The sequence below is a fragment of the Homo sapiens genome, chromosome 20, assembly GCF_000001405.40.
Source record: "Homo sapiens chromosome 20, GRCh38.p14 Primary Assembly".
Taxonomy (NCBI): domain Eukaryota; kingdom Metazoa; phylum Chordata; class Mammalia; order Primates; family Hominidae; genus Homo; species Homo sapiens.
Window position 1 is genome coordinate 5,953,315 of NC_000020.11, and position 15,471 is coordinate 5,968,785.

General features: G+C 38.5%; 1 protein-coding gene across 10 annotated transcripts in view; it reads left to right on the forward strand.

Annotated features, from left to right (window-relative positions):
- MCM8 (minichromosome maintenance 8 homologous recombination repair factor) overlaps nucleotides 1-15,471 on the forward strand; it is a 48,326-nt gene that overhangs the window by 2,663 nt on the left and 30,192 nt on the right. For 9 of the 10 annotated variants that reach the window (NM_001281520.2, XM_047440552.1, XM_017028105.2 and 6 more), the window contains exons 4-10: nucleotides 1,294-1,376; nucleotides 1,788-1,937; nucleotides 3,812-3,915; nucleotides 5,214-5,412; nucleotides 9,960-10,045; nucleotides 14,122-14,273; nucleotides 14,516-14,711. In NM_001281520.2, coding sequence (NP_001268449.1) covers nucleotides 1,294-1,376; nucleotides 1,788-1,937; nucleotides 3,812-3,915; nucleotides 5,214-5,412; nucleotides 9,960-10,045; nucleotides 14,122-14,273; nucleotides 14,516-14,711 — 970 coding nt within the window. The remainder of the gene's footprint in view (nucleotides 1-1,293; nucleotides 1,377-1,787; nucleotides 1,938-3,811; nucleotides 3,916-5,213; nucleotides 5,413-9,959; nucleotides 10,046-14,121; nucleotides 14,274-14,515; nucleotides 14,712-15,471) is intronic. The other variant, NM_182802.3, reaches the window with a different exon arrangement.

The following is a 15,471-nucleotide window of genomic DNA, read 5'->3' on the forward strand; positions in this document are numbered from 1 at the left end:
CAGGTAAGGAATCTCCCTTTGATAATTAGGAATACCAATTAACCTACATCAGTCTGTATAGGTGCAGGGAACTGTCTTTTTTGTGCTGTTAAAATACCCATTTGTTTCTTATGTCTCATGAGGGGTGTGTGTGTGTGTGTGTGTGTGTGTGTGTGTGCATACTTTTTATTTTTTTTTGAGATGGAGTCTTGCTCTGTTGCCCAGGCTGAAGTGCAGTGGCGCGATCTTGGCTCACTGCAAGCTCTGCCTCCCAGGTTCACGCCATTCTCCTGCCTCAGCCTCCCGAGTAGCTGGGACTACAGGCACCCGCCACCACGCCCGGCTAATTTTTTCTGTTTTTAGTAGAGACGGGGTTTCACCGTGTTAGCTAGGATGGTCTTGATCTCCTGACCTCGTTATCCGCCCGCCTCGGCCTCCCAAAGTGCTAGGATTCCAGACGTGAGCCACCGCACCCAGCCGCATACTTTTTTTTTTTAGGAAAACTAGACGTTTGAGGTCCAGGACCCTCCCTGCCCCATACCAGGCATGCAGTAGTCATTTTGTGAATGAATAGAGTACTTTACAAATGTTTTCTTTATTGGAAATCTGTTCGTTTTTTTCCATCAATAGAATCTGTTTCATGAATGATCTTTTGTTCCTTTAGGATGTATTAGCCACCAGCACTCCCATTGCTCCCCTAGCAGATAGCTCAGAACACTATAAGTGATCTTTGGACAGTCCTAAAGATGGAGTTCAAGAGGTGCCTTAGCCTTCACCATCTGTGCTTCCAAACTACTTTATTGTACTGTTCTTCTGTGAGAGACATATTTGAAAATGTAGAACTTTAGAGTGTTAAAAAAAAAAAGGCTTTTCAGTTTTGCCACCAGGGTCAAGTGTTGGTCTGTCTCCTGATCTCAGGAAAGACTGTGATTGTGATTGTCTTCAGCTCTGTCAGAGTAAGAGCTTAGTTTATGTGTCTGGCTTTGGCTTTATTATAATTTTTAGTTTAAGCTTATTGTCTAAATTATCTGAACTAACATGTCCTATTAGGTGTCAAAGATGCAAAACAAAGTTTCCCAGATAGTGGGGCTTTTAGAGAGAGAGAGTTTCTGTCTGCATTTCACATTATGCAAACCTAAATTTGTTTTAGAATCTTAAGTTTACATTCTATACTAGTTCTTATATGAATGTAATCAAAATACAAAGCAATTAGAAAAAAATCATCTACCATGTATATAGTGCTGCTTTTGTCTCATGAAAAATGTGCATGTACCTGTGTGATTATTTGTGCTAATGCCATATTTGTTGGATTAGTTTACAGCGATAGCTCTCCTTTGATTGAGAAGATTCAAGCATTTGAAAAATTTTTCACAAGGCATATTGATTTGTATGACAAGGTAAGATTCCTCTACAGCAAAGCTACCAGTCATGTGCCATCTTACCAATGTATTCGAGGTACTTGTGATTATGATCGTAGGCACTGGAGTCAGACTTCCTTGGTTCAGACCTCAGTTCTGCCACTTACCTGCAGTATGGACTTTGATTAATTACTTCTCTGTGCCTCAGTTTTCTTTCATTTGGAGATAGAGGTATAAATACCTACCTCAAAGGATTGTTAAGAGGCAGTAATACATTAATATATTTAAAATATCAGAACCATGCTTGGCACAAAGCTTATACTTATGTCATACTTACCATTATCACATATAAACATTGTATGCTTTCTCAAAGTCTATAATAGAATGCTCAGTTAATGGTAATTGACTACAGAAAAGCAATTATTGTTTTCATACTTTTATATTTTATAGGATGAAATAGAAAGAAAGGGAAGTATTTTGGTAGATTTTAAAGAACTGACAGAAGGTGGTGAAGTAACTAACTTGATACCAGATATAGCAACTGAACTAAGAGATGCACCTGAGAAAACCTTGGCTTGCATGGGTTTGGCAATACATCAGGTAACTATTTGTCTTATGCATACTTTTGTCTAAACTTTTTTAATGTTTGCACACACATGCACACCTTGTCTAAGTTTAAAGGAAGATTTTACAGTGACTGTACTTTCTATAAGAGATACTTAGCTTTTACGAAAAGATGTTGGCTAGAACTGAGAGGTTGCAGTTCCGTTCTGAAAGATACCATTCATTCTATATACAACAGCTTATCTAAATGAAATATTTACCTCCAACTTATTTGGATTTGCTTAATCTTGCTAAAGATTGTGCAGAAATTAAACTTTGCTTTCAAGAAGTTATACAATCTCATAGGGAAGATAAAACAAGGAATCATGGTGTTATCGGTTATGAACTTAGAGCAAAAAAGAGCAACCTTAGATTTAGGTTCTGTGGCATGAAGCAAACCACTGAGTGTCCCTGTATATCAAATGTAAATAACAGTTTGTACTGTGCTTGCCTGAGTTTTTTTTCAGGGTCAGGTAATACAACATATATGAAAACATTTTTAACTTTTTAAATTTTTTAAATTTATTTTTTATTTATTTTTTTGAGATGGAGTTTCACTTTGTTGCCAGGCTGGAGTGCAGTGTCATGATCTCCGCTCACTGCAACCTCTGCCTCCCGGGTTCAAGTGATTCTCTTGCCTCAGCCTCCCGAGTGGCTGGGTGCACCACCATGCCCAGCTAAGTTTTGGAGTTTTAGTAGAGACGGGGTTTCACGATGTTGGCCAGGATGGTCTTGATCTCTTGATCTTGTGATCCGCCTGCCTTGGCTTCCTAAAGTGCTAGGATTACAGGCATGAGCCACCTTGCCCGGCCAAAAACATTTTTTAGGCTAGCAAACAGATACATGCTTCAAGGTAATGAATAGCAAATCTCAGGACAGGCATACACAAAGTGCTGGGGCATTCAGAGGGGCATTCTTCTACCTCTTGCCTGTGCTGTCCATTCAACATAGAATCCCCTTCCCTTCACATGGACAGATTATTTGGGCCTAGCTCAGTTGTCTGTCTGTAAAACCTTTCTCATGACCACTTTTCGAAACTTGCATGGTATTTTGTCTGTACATCTTTATGGTCCTTATGACAATTACAGCTGTATATATGCATCTTATTTTGCCTCTTAGGTTGCCAGCAAACTGCTGTGTACAAGTGGTATTAAATGTTTGTTTGTTGTTTATTTATTTATTTATTTTGAAATGGAGTTTTGCTCTTGTTGCCCAGGCTGGAGTGCAATGGTGTGATCTTGCCTCATTGCAGCCTCAGCCTCCCAAGTAGCTGGGATTATAGGCATGCACTGCCACACTTGGCTAATTTTTGTATTTTTAGTAGAGATGGGGTTTCACCATGTTGGTCGGGCTGGTCTCAAACTCCTGACCTCAGGGGATCCACCCACTTTGGCCTCCCAAAGTGCTGGGATAACAGGTGTGAGCCACTGCGCCCAGCGTGTTTATATTATTTAATGTTAAATGCCAAGGGAGTGAGTATTAGGTATTTTAAAGGTCATTTTTATTTTCTGTGTCTTGATTGGTCAGTGAATATAGAGAAATAGGAATGCATTTTTTTTTTTTTAATTAGTATCAAGAGGTGATGGTTTTGGGGACTAATGTAAGGGCTTTTAATGTTAGGTTTAGTTGGGACAGAAAGTAGCAGACTGGGATGCTGGAGTTTTTCAGCACAGGGACAGCAAAATCCAATGTAAAACATCCACTATAAAGTAAGTAGTCATAATTAAATATTAGATATTTAAAGGGCTGTTAAAGTTTTCTGTTTTTATTCTGTTTCTGTCCATAAACTTTATATTCTCTATAAAAATAGAGTTCTGTATAAAGAGGATGTTTTGTTTTCCAACTTCAGAGTAAATGTCTGTCCTGTTTAGGTGTTAACTAAGGACCTTGAAAGGCATGCAGCTGAGTTACAAGCCCAGGAAGGATTGTCTAATGATGGAGAAACAATGGTAAATGTGCCACATATTCATGCAAGGTGAGGAATTTGATGTATTAAAGTATTACTTAGAATGGGACATTGAAGGCCATTTAAGAATGAAAACGCTCATTTTATAAAAATGAGGAAATCAGTAAAAAGGACATGAGTTCCTTGCCATCTCATTGATCATCACACTGAAATAAACTCATTGAAAATTATTCAAAGACATCATGACAGATACTTCCTAAATAAGGAAGAAAATGTTGATTTCCTAACCTGCAGATTTTTGTAAACATTGGTTTTGGATGTGAACTTATCAAGACCCTGCTGTGTAAGTTTAATAATCCATGTATGGGTTGAGTATCCCTAATCTGAAAATCTGAAATCTGAAATGCTCCAAAATTCAAAACTTTGAGCCCTGACACGACACTGAAAGGAAATGTTCATTGGAGCACTTCAGATTTTTGAATTAGAGATACTCAACTAGTAATATTGCAAATATTTGGAAGTCCAAAAATTCCAAAATACTTCTGGTCCCAGGCATTTTGGATAAGGGATATACTCAGTCTGTAATACACTAAGTGTTCTTTGTTAAATTATTAGGTTTTTGTTAGATACAAGGGAATAATGAAATTATTTTGTTTTTCTTGAATTCATCTTTAAGATTTTAAATTCATTAGAAGAATTCATTATAAGGTAATCATCAGCATTTTGTTTTTCTTTTCCAGAATTTATAGAAGAAAATTTCCTAGCAGTTCTTTAAAAAGAACTTAGAAACCCAAAGGTTTTTGAATCTGTAGATTTTCCTTTTGGCATTATTTTTTTCCTTAAATTTCTTTTTTCTTTTTTCCTTGAGAACAGCCTGTGAGACAAGAAGAAAAAGGAAGATTTAGTGTTGTTTCTTGTTAAGAATGGTTTGGCTGGGCACGGTGGCTCATGCCTGTAATCCCAGCACTGGGAGTCCGAGGCAGGCGGATCACGAGGTCAAGCGATCGAGACCATCCTGGCCAACATGGTGAAACCCTGTCTCTACTAAAAATACAAAAATTAGCTGGGTGTGGTGGCACACACCTGTAGTCCCAGCTACTCGGGAGACTGAGGCAGGAGAATCACTTGAACCCGGGAGGCAGTGGTTGCAGTGAGCCAAGATGGCACCCCTGCACTCCAGCCTGGCAACAGAGCGAGACTCCATCTCAAGAAAACAAAACACAACAAGAATGGTTTAATTCTTGTGATATTTCTGATATATCGAAGGGATGATTTGATTTGAGAATTCCATAGTTGCTCCTAAAAGGAACTTGTGAAAATATAAAAAACATCAATTTTCTGTTCATTACTTCCTGTTTTGTCTTTAGGGTGTACAACTATGAGCCTTTGACACAGCTCAAGAATGTCAGAGCAAATTACTATGGAAAATACATTGCTCTAAGAGGGACAGTGGTTCGTGTCAGTAATATAAAGCCTCTTTGCACCAAGATGGCTTTTCTTTGTGCTGCATGTGGAGAAATTCAGAGCTTTCCTCTTCCAGATGGAAAATACAGTCTTCCCACAAAGGTAATACGTTCTTTAACTGCTTCTTTATTTATCTTGGTAAAGAAGGCAAATCAGAATACAGAAAACATTTCCCAGTGTTTCTGAACACAGAGCTTATTTTTATTTTTTATTTTCAATTTTCTGCTTTTATATTATGAAATACTTCAGGGTAAGAAAAATACAGAAATAAATAAAACATTCCACTACTCATCACCCCGAATTTACATTTTTCAGCTCCGGACACATTTTTTAATGATATAAAGCATTACTGGCACAATTAGTGTCTGTTTTTTACCTATACCATTCCCAGGGATGATCATTATCCTGAAGTTATTATAATATGCATCCCTTCCATTCATATTTCTGTTGACTTCTAGGTATACACACCAAGTTTTTTTTCCCCTTTATTTCTTCTACTATTTAGAAGTGATGGGTTTTTTAAATCTTTATTAGCCTTTATTAAACTGGATTTTAAAACTATAGAAAAGTGCAGAGAATAATGTAATTAACATTTATCTACTCTATGATTTGGCAAATATTAATATTATTTTAGCTTAATTTGTAACAAAAATATGGTTATATAAAGTTGAAGTCTTTCTGTTCTCAGTTTTATTCCCTTTATTTGCTCCCTAGATGCAACCACTATGCTGAAATTGGCATGTATTCTTCAAGTTTACATTTTTATTCTTGACTACATGTGTAGAGTTAGTTTTTTGTATTGTGTTTACGTAAATGGTATCCTGAATGTAACACGCAGCTGTTTTTTTATTTGGTTATTTTGTAGTTCTACCTATTTTAATACATATCAAATTCTTTCATTTTTACTATTGTGGAGTGTTGCTTTAAATAAATAGCCACAATTTATCCATTTTCCTGGAGGTAGACAATTGTGCTCTTTCCAGTTTTTTATAAGAACAAATGATACTGCAGAGAACATTCTTGTACATGTCTCCTTAGCAGAGGAATACTAAGTTGTAGGCTGTACTTTTTTTTTTTTTTTTTTTTTTTTTTGAGACGGAGTCTCGCTCTGTTGCCCGGGCTGGAGTGCAGTGGCGCGATCTTGGCTCACCGCAACCTCCGCCTCCTGGGTTCAAGCAGTTCTCCTGCCTCAGCCTCTCGAGTAGCTGGGACTACAGGCACGCGCCACCATGCCTGGCTAATTTTTGTATTTTTGGTAGAGACAAGGTTTCACTATGTTGGCCAGGCTGTTCTCAAACTCCTGACCTGGTGATCCGCCTGCCTCAGCCTCCCAGAGTGCTGGGATTGGCCGGCTGTACTTATTTTTAACTGTATTAGATGTTACCAAATTACTTTCCAGAGTATTGTTCCCAACTTAAATCTTTGCTGGTAGTGTTAAGTAGTTACCATTTCTCTGTCTTTTCATTAACACTTGGTATTGTTAGACTTGTACATTTTTGACAGTTTGTTAGGTATAAATAATACTGCATTTATAATGTGAATTTTTCTGATTTCTGTTGTGGTTGAGCATCTTTTCATATCTTTACTGGCCATTCAGTTTCTTTATCGAATTTTCTATTTATATCTAATGTTCATTTTCCTGTTTATTGGTTTATTCTTTAATTTTGTTTTTTAGAGATGGGGTCTCATTCTGTTGCCCAGGCTGGAGTGTAGTGACATGATCATAGCTCATTACAACCTTGAACTCCTGGGCTCAGGTGATCTTCCCATCTCAGCTTCCCACGTAGTTGGGACTACAGGTGCCAGCCACTGTGCCTGGTTCTATTAGTTTATTGATAGGAGTTCTTTATACATTCTAGATACTAATTATTGTTGATTATATACATTAGATATTTTCTCCCAGTCTTTGGTTTGTCTTTTAACTTTGTGGGTTTTTTTGTTGTACAGTTTTACATTTTGACATGATCAAATTGTTGTCTTTTCCTCCCTAATTTGTATATTTTATGCCCTGCTTAAGAAGCCGTTCTTCGGCTGGGCTTGGTGGCTCATGCCTGTAATCTCAGCACTTTGGGAGGCCGAGGCGGGCAGATCACCTGAGGTCAGGAGTTGAAGACCAGCCTGACCAACAGGGAGAGACCCCATCTCTACTAAAAATTCTAAATTAGCCAGACGTGGTGGCACATGCCTGTAATCCAAGCTACTCGGGAGGCTGAGGCCGGAGAATCGCTTGAACCCAAGAGGCAGAGGTTGCAGTGAGCCGAGATCACGCCATTGCACTCCAGCTTGGGCAGTAAGAGCGAAACTCCGCCTCAAAAAATACATAAATAAATAAGAAGCCCTTTTCACTCAAGCATTATAAACATATTTCCTACATTGCTTCTAAGAATCCTAAGTTTTGTTTTTTATCTTTAGATCTTTTGTCCATCTGGAATTTAAGCCATTGGTGAAGGGCATAAAACTAGGGATTTAAGCTGGGCATGGTGGCATATGCCTGTAGTCCCAACTACTCAGTAGTCTGAGGCAGGAGGATCGCTTGAGCCCTGGAGTTTGAGACTAGCCTGGGCAGCATAGTGAGACCCCCATCTCTTAAAAAAACAAACTAGTGATCTAATTTTTAGGTGAAAAGCTATTTATCCTGACACCATTTATTAATTAAGCCCTTGTTACCATGGATGTATAATGTTTCCTCGGTGGTACCCAGAGTCATCGTTATCACCATTGGGCTTTACTAAATTTAACATTTGCTAAATTTTTGCTCATGTGAAGGGTTGAATCCTTAGTGAGGTAAATAGTCCCTTGAAGAATTAAAAAGGGAAACATAAGATGTTTATGTTTGAAATTCCTAAGGCTTCTTTCTCTGACTGGAAGAAGAGGGTATGTGAGATTCAGCTATTGGTTCTGAATAATCAGTGGTGTTGATAGATGGGTTTCATCTGGTGTTTGTCTTGGCTTAAGGTTCAAGGTATAACCTTTAGCTTAGAGGCCAGAATTTAAATCCTGATTTAAACCAGATATTTTCTTCCTTTTATTTTGAAGACGGGGTCTCACTCTGTCACCCAGGCTGGAGTGCAGGGGCATGAATACAGCTCACTGCAGCCTTGACCTCCTTAAATCAGATATTTTCTAGACAGTATTTGTTCAGGGTATTTTCATGCCCCCTAATAAATTAGGTAGTAGCATTGACTCATGTGTGATGTCGTGAAGAGGTCCTCCATTTGTCTGAACTGTGGGGCTTTGAAGTGACAGAAAGATGGCTGTTTCAGTTGATCTCTATTCCCGCCACTATTGTTGCGTAACACATCACTCCAAAACTCAGTGGCCGAAAATAAAGCCAATCATTTTATTAGTTCTCATGATATCTGTGGATCAGGAGTTTGGAAGAACTACTCAACTGGCTAGTTCTGGCTCCAGGCCTCTCATGGAGTTGTAGTCAGATGGTGGCTGGAGTACAGCAAGGTGGCTGGGGGCTGGCCAGGCATCTTCTTCTCCATGTGGCTGTGTGGGCTAGTTTGGGCTTCTTGCACACAGTATAGCAGCTCAGGCACTCAGTCTGCTTATATGGCTGCTGACAGGTTCAGGTCAAGAAGTGCAGTTGGTAGGCAGAAATGGCCTTGCCTTTTGTGAGCTAGTCTCAGAAGTCGTGCAACATCACTGTGTCACATTCTGTTGGTAACAAAGTGAGTCCCAGGCCTTCTCAAATTCCAGGAGAAGGAATTAGCCTTCATTTCTTTTTTTTTTTTTTTTTTTTTTTTTTTTTTTTTGAGACGGAGTCTCGCTCTGTCGCCCAGGCCGGACTGCGGACTGCAGTGGCGCAATCTCGGCTCACTGCAAGCTCCGCTTCCCGGGTTCACGCCATTCTCCTGCCTCAGCCTCCCGAGTAGCTGGGACTACAGGCGCCCGCCACCGCGCCCGGCTAATTTTTTGTATTTTTAGTAGAGACGGGGTTTCACCTTGTTAGCCAGGATGGTCTCGATCTCCCGACCTCATGATCCACCCGCCTCGGCCTCCCAAAGTGCTGGGATTACAGGCGTGAGCCACCGCGCCCGGCCTTCATTTCTTAATGGAGGAGTAGCAAGGTTCTAAAAAGTCTTGAAGATAAATATTGTTGCAATCATATTTGGCAAATACAGTCTGCCACAGTCTGAATTTATAAATGCTTCTTGAGATCCAAACACCAAACAAGTGCCTGTGTGGCATAATAAGTATTACACTCTACAGAAAGTGCAAAAGGAGCCTAGATGAGAAAGCTGGGGATTAAAGAAAACTCTGGAAAGCCTTTTGAAAAGGAGAGGATTGGCATTGGGCATGTGGGACAGAATGAGAGGGTTGTTGAAGGAGCGAGAGGTGGCATGGGCACAGAGGAAGCAATAAGTGCTTCATGTGGGAGGCAAGCAAAGCACCTTGCATACCCATAGCAGGATACGAACAGTAAGTGAGAAGGATCAATTGGAAAGTGCCTCAAAAGCTGTCGATATTAAATTGTTGCAGGAGGAAATAGAAAGTCATTAATCTCTCAGTGGATTTTACTTTACTAGCATCCTGAGACCAACTTTTAAAACAATATTAAATGAAATGTTTTAACTGAATTTTCCTGAGGTGTGATTATAGTTTATCAAAATCTGAATGTGAATTACTTTTGTTTCATTCAGTGTCCTGTGCCTGTGTGTCGAGGCAGGTCATTTACTGCTCTCCGCAGCTCTCCTCTCACAGTTACGATGGACTGGCAGTCAATCAAGTAAGCGATCAGACTGTTACATAAAAGGCAGGCTTTAGATGTCACACTGTTGAGAAAATCCATAATTTTACTGTATTATATTGTACGTTTTATCTAAATGACAAAGTGTATAATAGTGTATAATAGATGGTTTATTTGATGAAGAGTTTGTATGTTAAAATAATTCTTTTTTTTTTTTTTTTTTTTTGAGACGGAGTCTTGCTCTGTCACCCAGGCTGCAGTGCAGTGGCGCGATCTTGGCTCACTGCAAGCTCTCCCTCTGGGTTCATGCCACTCTCCTGCCTCAGCCTCCTGAGTAGCTGGGACTACAGGCGCCCACCACAATGCCTGGCTAATTTTTTTGTATTTTTAGTAGAGGTTTAGTTTAGAGGTTTCACCGTGTTAGCCAGGATGGTCTTGATTTCCTGACCTCGTGATCTGCCCGCCTCAGCCTCCCAAAGTGCTGGGATTACAGGCGTGAGCCACCGCTCCTAGCCTAATTGTCTTTATTTGAAATTTATTCTCTGTCAGATTCCAGAAAGGATTCATTATGCAAATATTGTGTCCTAATGAGAAATAGTTGATTTTATATCTCAATTATGTGATTAATTGAACTGGATATAGGCCATAAGCAAAGCTGTGTGCTTCATTCCATATTGAGCTGTGATAGAAATAATATTGTTTTGAAGTTTTCAAATAAAGACTCCCTTTGAAATGGCATGTTTCATTTTATGTTCTCAATGTTGCAATGGGGCATTTTACTATAGGGTTTTTTAATAGCTTTTTTTTTTTTTTTTTGCAAGTCAGAGTTTTCTTTGTGTATGTGTTTTTCATCCCATAATTGATTACATTTTTTCTAGCTGTAGATCTATAGCTCATCCCTAAATATAAAATAATGAATGGTTTTGAAGTCAGTGCTCTCTAGCAAACCTGGCTGAAATGAGATGGTCCTAAGAACTAAGAACCTAGGGAAAAGATAAGATGATCTGCTGCTAACTGCTTCACCCCCTTCTTCCCTGAAAAATTAAGACCAACATATATAATAATTAATTGTACTATAGTGAGATCTTTACAAACACCCCATTTTATAAAAGAGGAAATGGTTAAGACTCTTGAGTATGATCGTGTGGCCTATGAGTATGGTAGAGCCTGATTTCCAACCTAGTCTGTGGGACTTTTACCACTTAAGAGGGACAAAGGGTTAGTCTGGAGGTAGTAAGTTATTTCAGTTGATTATTCACAGTCACTTACAGATCAAACTTCTTGTTCTACTCTTTCCTCCCTTCTCACTACTGCACTTGACTCATCTTAAAAAAGTGGGTGTGGGGGGTGAATTGATTGTGAAGTGGTGAGTGATCTTGGAGCAAGGTTTGAAGTCGTGCAGGTTAGGTGGATGCCAGCGCCTGGCCCATGACCTGAAAAACATTGAGAGGTAGTCTAGATGTATGATGAATGTATTCCAAAGTTATTATTTTAATGTTCAATGATTGTACTTACATTAATTAAGTAAAAAAAGCTTTAATAACATGTGCATGTTTTTAAAAATTCAATCAGTGTGGAAAGGCACAGTCCCCACAACTTGCTGTTACATTATACATAACTTTAGATACCATTCTTGTGTCTTTCATCCTTCGCTTTACTGCAGTCATTCTATGTGAGCTGAGGACATTAGAAACATACTTGTTCTTTTATCTTCTAGACTTTCTCCGTTCCGACATTACTTTAAATTGTCAAGGTTTACCTTTTGTCTTCTAATTATAATTGTCTTCCAGAGTTTATTTATAGGTCATGTCTAACAAAAACAATAAACAGGCATTTACATTTTTATGTTAATAAAAATGCCCGATATGGCATTCCCCGGGATAAATAATATGAGCTTCTGACTTCTCCCTCCATCTTTTCTACTCCTACTTGCGTCTTCAGTGGTCGAAGCCAGTGCTGGAACTGGCTGGACAGTTTATCCCCCCTTAGCAAAAAACCTAGCACATGCACAAGCCTCTGTGGATCTGACCATCTTCACGTTCCACTGTCTCTTCCATTTTAGGGGCCATTAACTTTATTACCAGAATAATTAACATAAAACCTCCAGCTTTGTCCCAATATCAAACACCCCTTTTCGTCTGGTAAGTCCTTATTATGGCGGTCCTTCTACTCCTTTCCCTTCCCATTTTATTAACATAAAAATGTAAATATAGCTCAACAAAGAACCAAATGAATGATCAAATGCCAAGCAAAGGAGCTGTAATTTATGTCACTGGGTTTTGTTTTGTTGGTTTTTACCCCTTAAATGAAAATGACTCAAGCATCAAATTATCTTTTCTTATACTCTGCTAGTTATTTGGAATTATCCCACATTTTAGTGTGCATCATATTTGGACTGTAACTTTGTCATTTAGTACTTTATTTTTCCTAAGGTTTCTAAGTGCTGGTTTTACTTCTTAGAGTATGCCTGTACCATTTCACCATAATTTTCCATTCTCTCTTCAATATACTATGGAATACATGGAATCCACCTTTTATTCTTAAAAAACAAAAACAAAAAAACACACCTTCCTTCTGCTTGAGTCTGGATCAGTAGTTCTCCAGACCTGCATTCCTGCTTCATCCTGGGATCTTGCTTCATTGCATTTTTTCTAAGGAATATTCCCAAGTAAATTTTCAGAAAGTATACAGGACAGGTAAAAAGTTCTAAGCCCTTGCATGTCTGAAAATGTCTTTATTTGGATCTTAGTCTGGCTAAGAGTTTGCTAGCTATTGAAGTCTATTTGGTTTTAATTTTCTCTGCTGTTTATGAGAGGTCTGGTGCTCATCTGATTCTCATTCCTTTGAGGACTGGACTTTTCCTCCTCTTTGTAACCATTTTATCTATCATGCTGTGAAACAGTGAAAGTGTATCTAGTTGTCTCTATCCTGCTTGATTGGCAGGATCTTTTGTCTTCAACTCTAGAATATCTGACTGATTTCTCAGCTTCCTATCAGATGCATTGCTTGGATTATTTGTTTTAAGTTTTTCCTCATTCTTTCATTTTCTTTGTTCTGTTTTCTAGATTTCTTTGGCTTTTTCTTATATCTTCTCTATAAATGCTTGATTTTTATATACATGCTTTAAATTTTCTTGATTTTGTACTTGTTTCCCCATTGTTCCCTTTTTGTAGTGGCTTATTCCTGTTTTATCATGGCAATATTTTCTCAAAACTCTTAGGCAGTTTGTTTTTAATACTCCCTGAATTATTGCCATTTAATTTTCAAATGTCTGATGAGGAATGAGAAAGTATTTGAAGTAGGTAGGATAGGTTTCCTTTGCAATTTTTTAGGTAGTAGTTTTTTCTCACAAGACTTTACCTCTAAATACAAAGATAGGGGTTTGGGCTATCAGATTTTGCTTTATGAATGTGTTTTTGAATTGGAATTGGGTTTCTCAGATGGTAGAATGAAGAGTCTTTATTCTGAAGCTCTGATATTCTCACTGCACAGTTTAGCTCCCTTCACAGAGGGGATGGGTTTGTTTCCTTAGAACAGTGCTCTGGTTTTTGCCAGATGATAAAGTACGCATTCTTCCCCTACCCACCTGTCCACTCACCTTCTCCAAAAATTCTCAACAGCTATTCCATGACTTGTCTTTCGGTTGATTACTGTTTTCTTCCAGCCATCTACTCCTGCTCTCTATTCCTGCCACATCCAACTTGGAAGCTTCTCTGGGGCTCTGCTAAGAACGTTGGGTCCCACTTTGCTTGTACGCTTATAGCTTTTGCCCATGTGTATTCTGGACTTTATTTTGTTTTATCCATCAATACTTTACCATTTGCTGGTTTCAAAAATTTCATTAATATCTCATTTGCTGATGATACCTCTACATACCCCCAAATTTTTAGTGACTCATTTTGGTGGACATTTTGGAGGGAGGCTAGGCAAATACATATGTTCATTTGGCTATCTTGAATTGGAAACTGCTGAAGTAATTTTAGATATACCATTAAACTGTTAATAAGCAAATCTGCTTTTATCTTCCTCAGCATCATGTGAACCCTGAATAGTTAATATCTTGCAGAAACCATCCAAAGTAAGTATTCTAACTGAAAACTATTTAAACTTTTTAGAATCCAGGAATTGATGTCTGATGATCAGAGAGAAGCAGGTCGGATTCCACGAACAATAGAATGTGAGCTTGTTCATGATCTTGTGGATAGCTGTGTCCCGGGAGACACAGTGACTATTACTGGAATTGTCAAAGTCTCAAATGCGGAAGAAGGTAGGGTACAACTCTTTTCATTATTTGTCTCTCAATAATGATTCATCAACGTTCATCTTTTCTAAGATGCTCCTGAACCTCAAATAATTTGAGGAATTTCTTGTTGCTTACATAAGATGAAACATTCCCTTTTAAAAAAACATGTATTTGTAGCTCCCTATGACTTTGTTTTATATTCTAGTTGAGTCATTGTAGGGAAAATGAAAATACCAACTATTGTATTTAACACTTTTAATTTACAGGTTCTCGAAATAAGAATGACAAGTGTATGTTCCTTTTGTATATTGAAGCAAATTCTATTAGTAATAGCAAAGGACAGAAAACAAAGAGTTCTGAGGATGGGTGTAAGCATGGAATGTTGATGGAGTTCTCACTTAAAGACCTTTATGCCATCCAAGAGATTCAAGCTGAAGAAAACCTGTTTAAACTCATTGTCAAGTATGTATGCTGTCATTTGAAATTTTATTACATAGATGCATGTTGGGGGTTCTCTTGGCTACAGGTAACAAAAAACTAGTCAAAATGGTCGGCAAACTACAGTCCATGTACCAAATACAGTACTCCATCCCCTTGAGTATGGCCTATGAACTAAGAATGGTTTTTATATTTTTTAATGGTTGAAATAAATTAAAAGAATATTTCACAACACATGAACTTATATGAAATTCAGATTTCAACTGGATATGGTGGCTCACGCCTGTAATCCCAGCACTTTGGGAGGCCGAGGCAGGCGGATCACTTGAGGTCGGGAGTTCGAGACCAGCCTGGCCAACATGGTGAAACCCTGTCTCTACTAAAAATACAAAAATTGGCCGGGCTTGGTGGCGGGCGCCTGTAATCCTAGCTACTCGGGAGGCTGAAGTGAAGAATCACTTGAACCCGGGAGATGGAGATTGCAGTGAGCCAAGATCGTGCCATTGCACTCCAGCCTGGGCAACAAGAGTGAAACTCTGTCTTTAAAAAAAAAAAAATTCTGATTTCAGTGTCCATAAATAAAGTTCTATTGGAACATAGCCACACTCATTCATTTACATAAGTGTGCTGCTTTTGTGCTACAGTGGCAGAGTTGAATAGTTGTGACAGAGAACATATATATGGCTCACATATTTTTGCTTTATCCTTTTATAGAAAAAATTTGCTGATCTCTAGTTTAAACAATACAGAATATTTACTATCTTATACAAGAAGTTTGTCACTC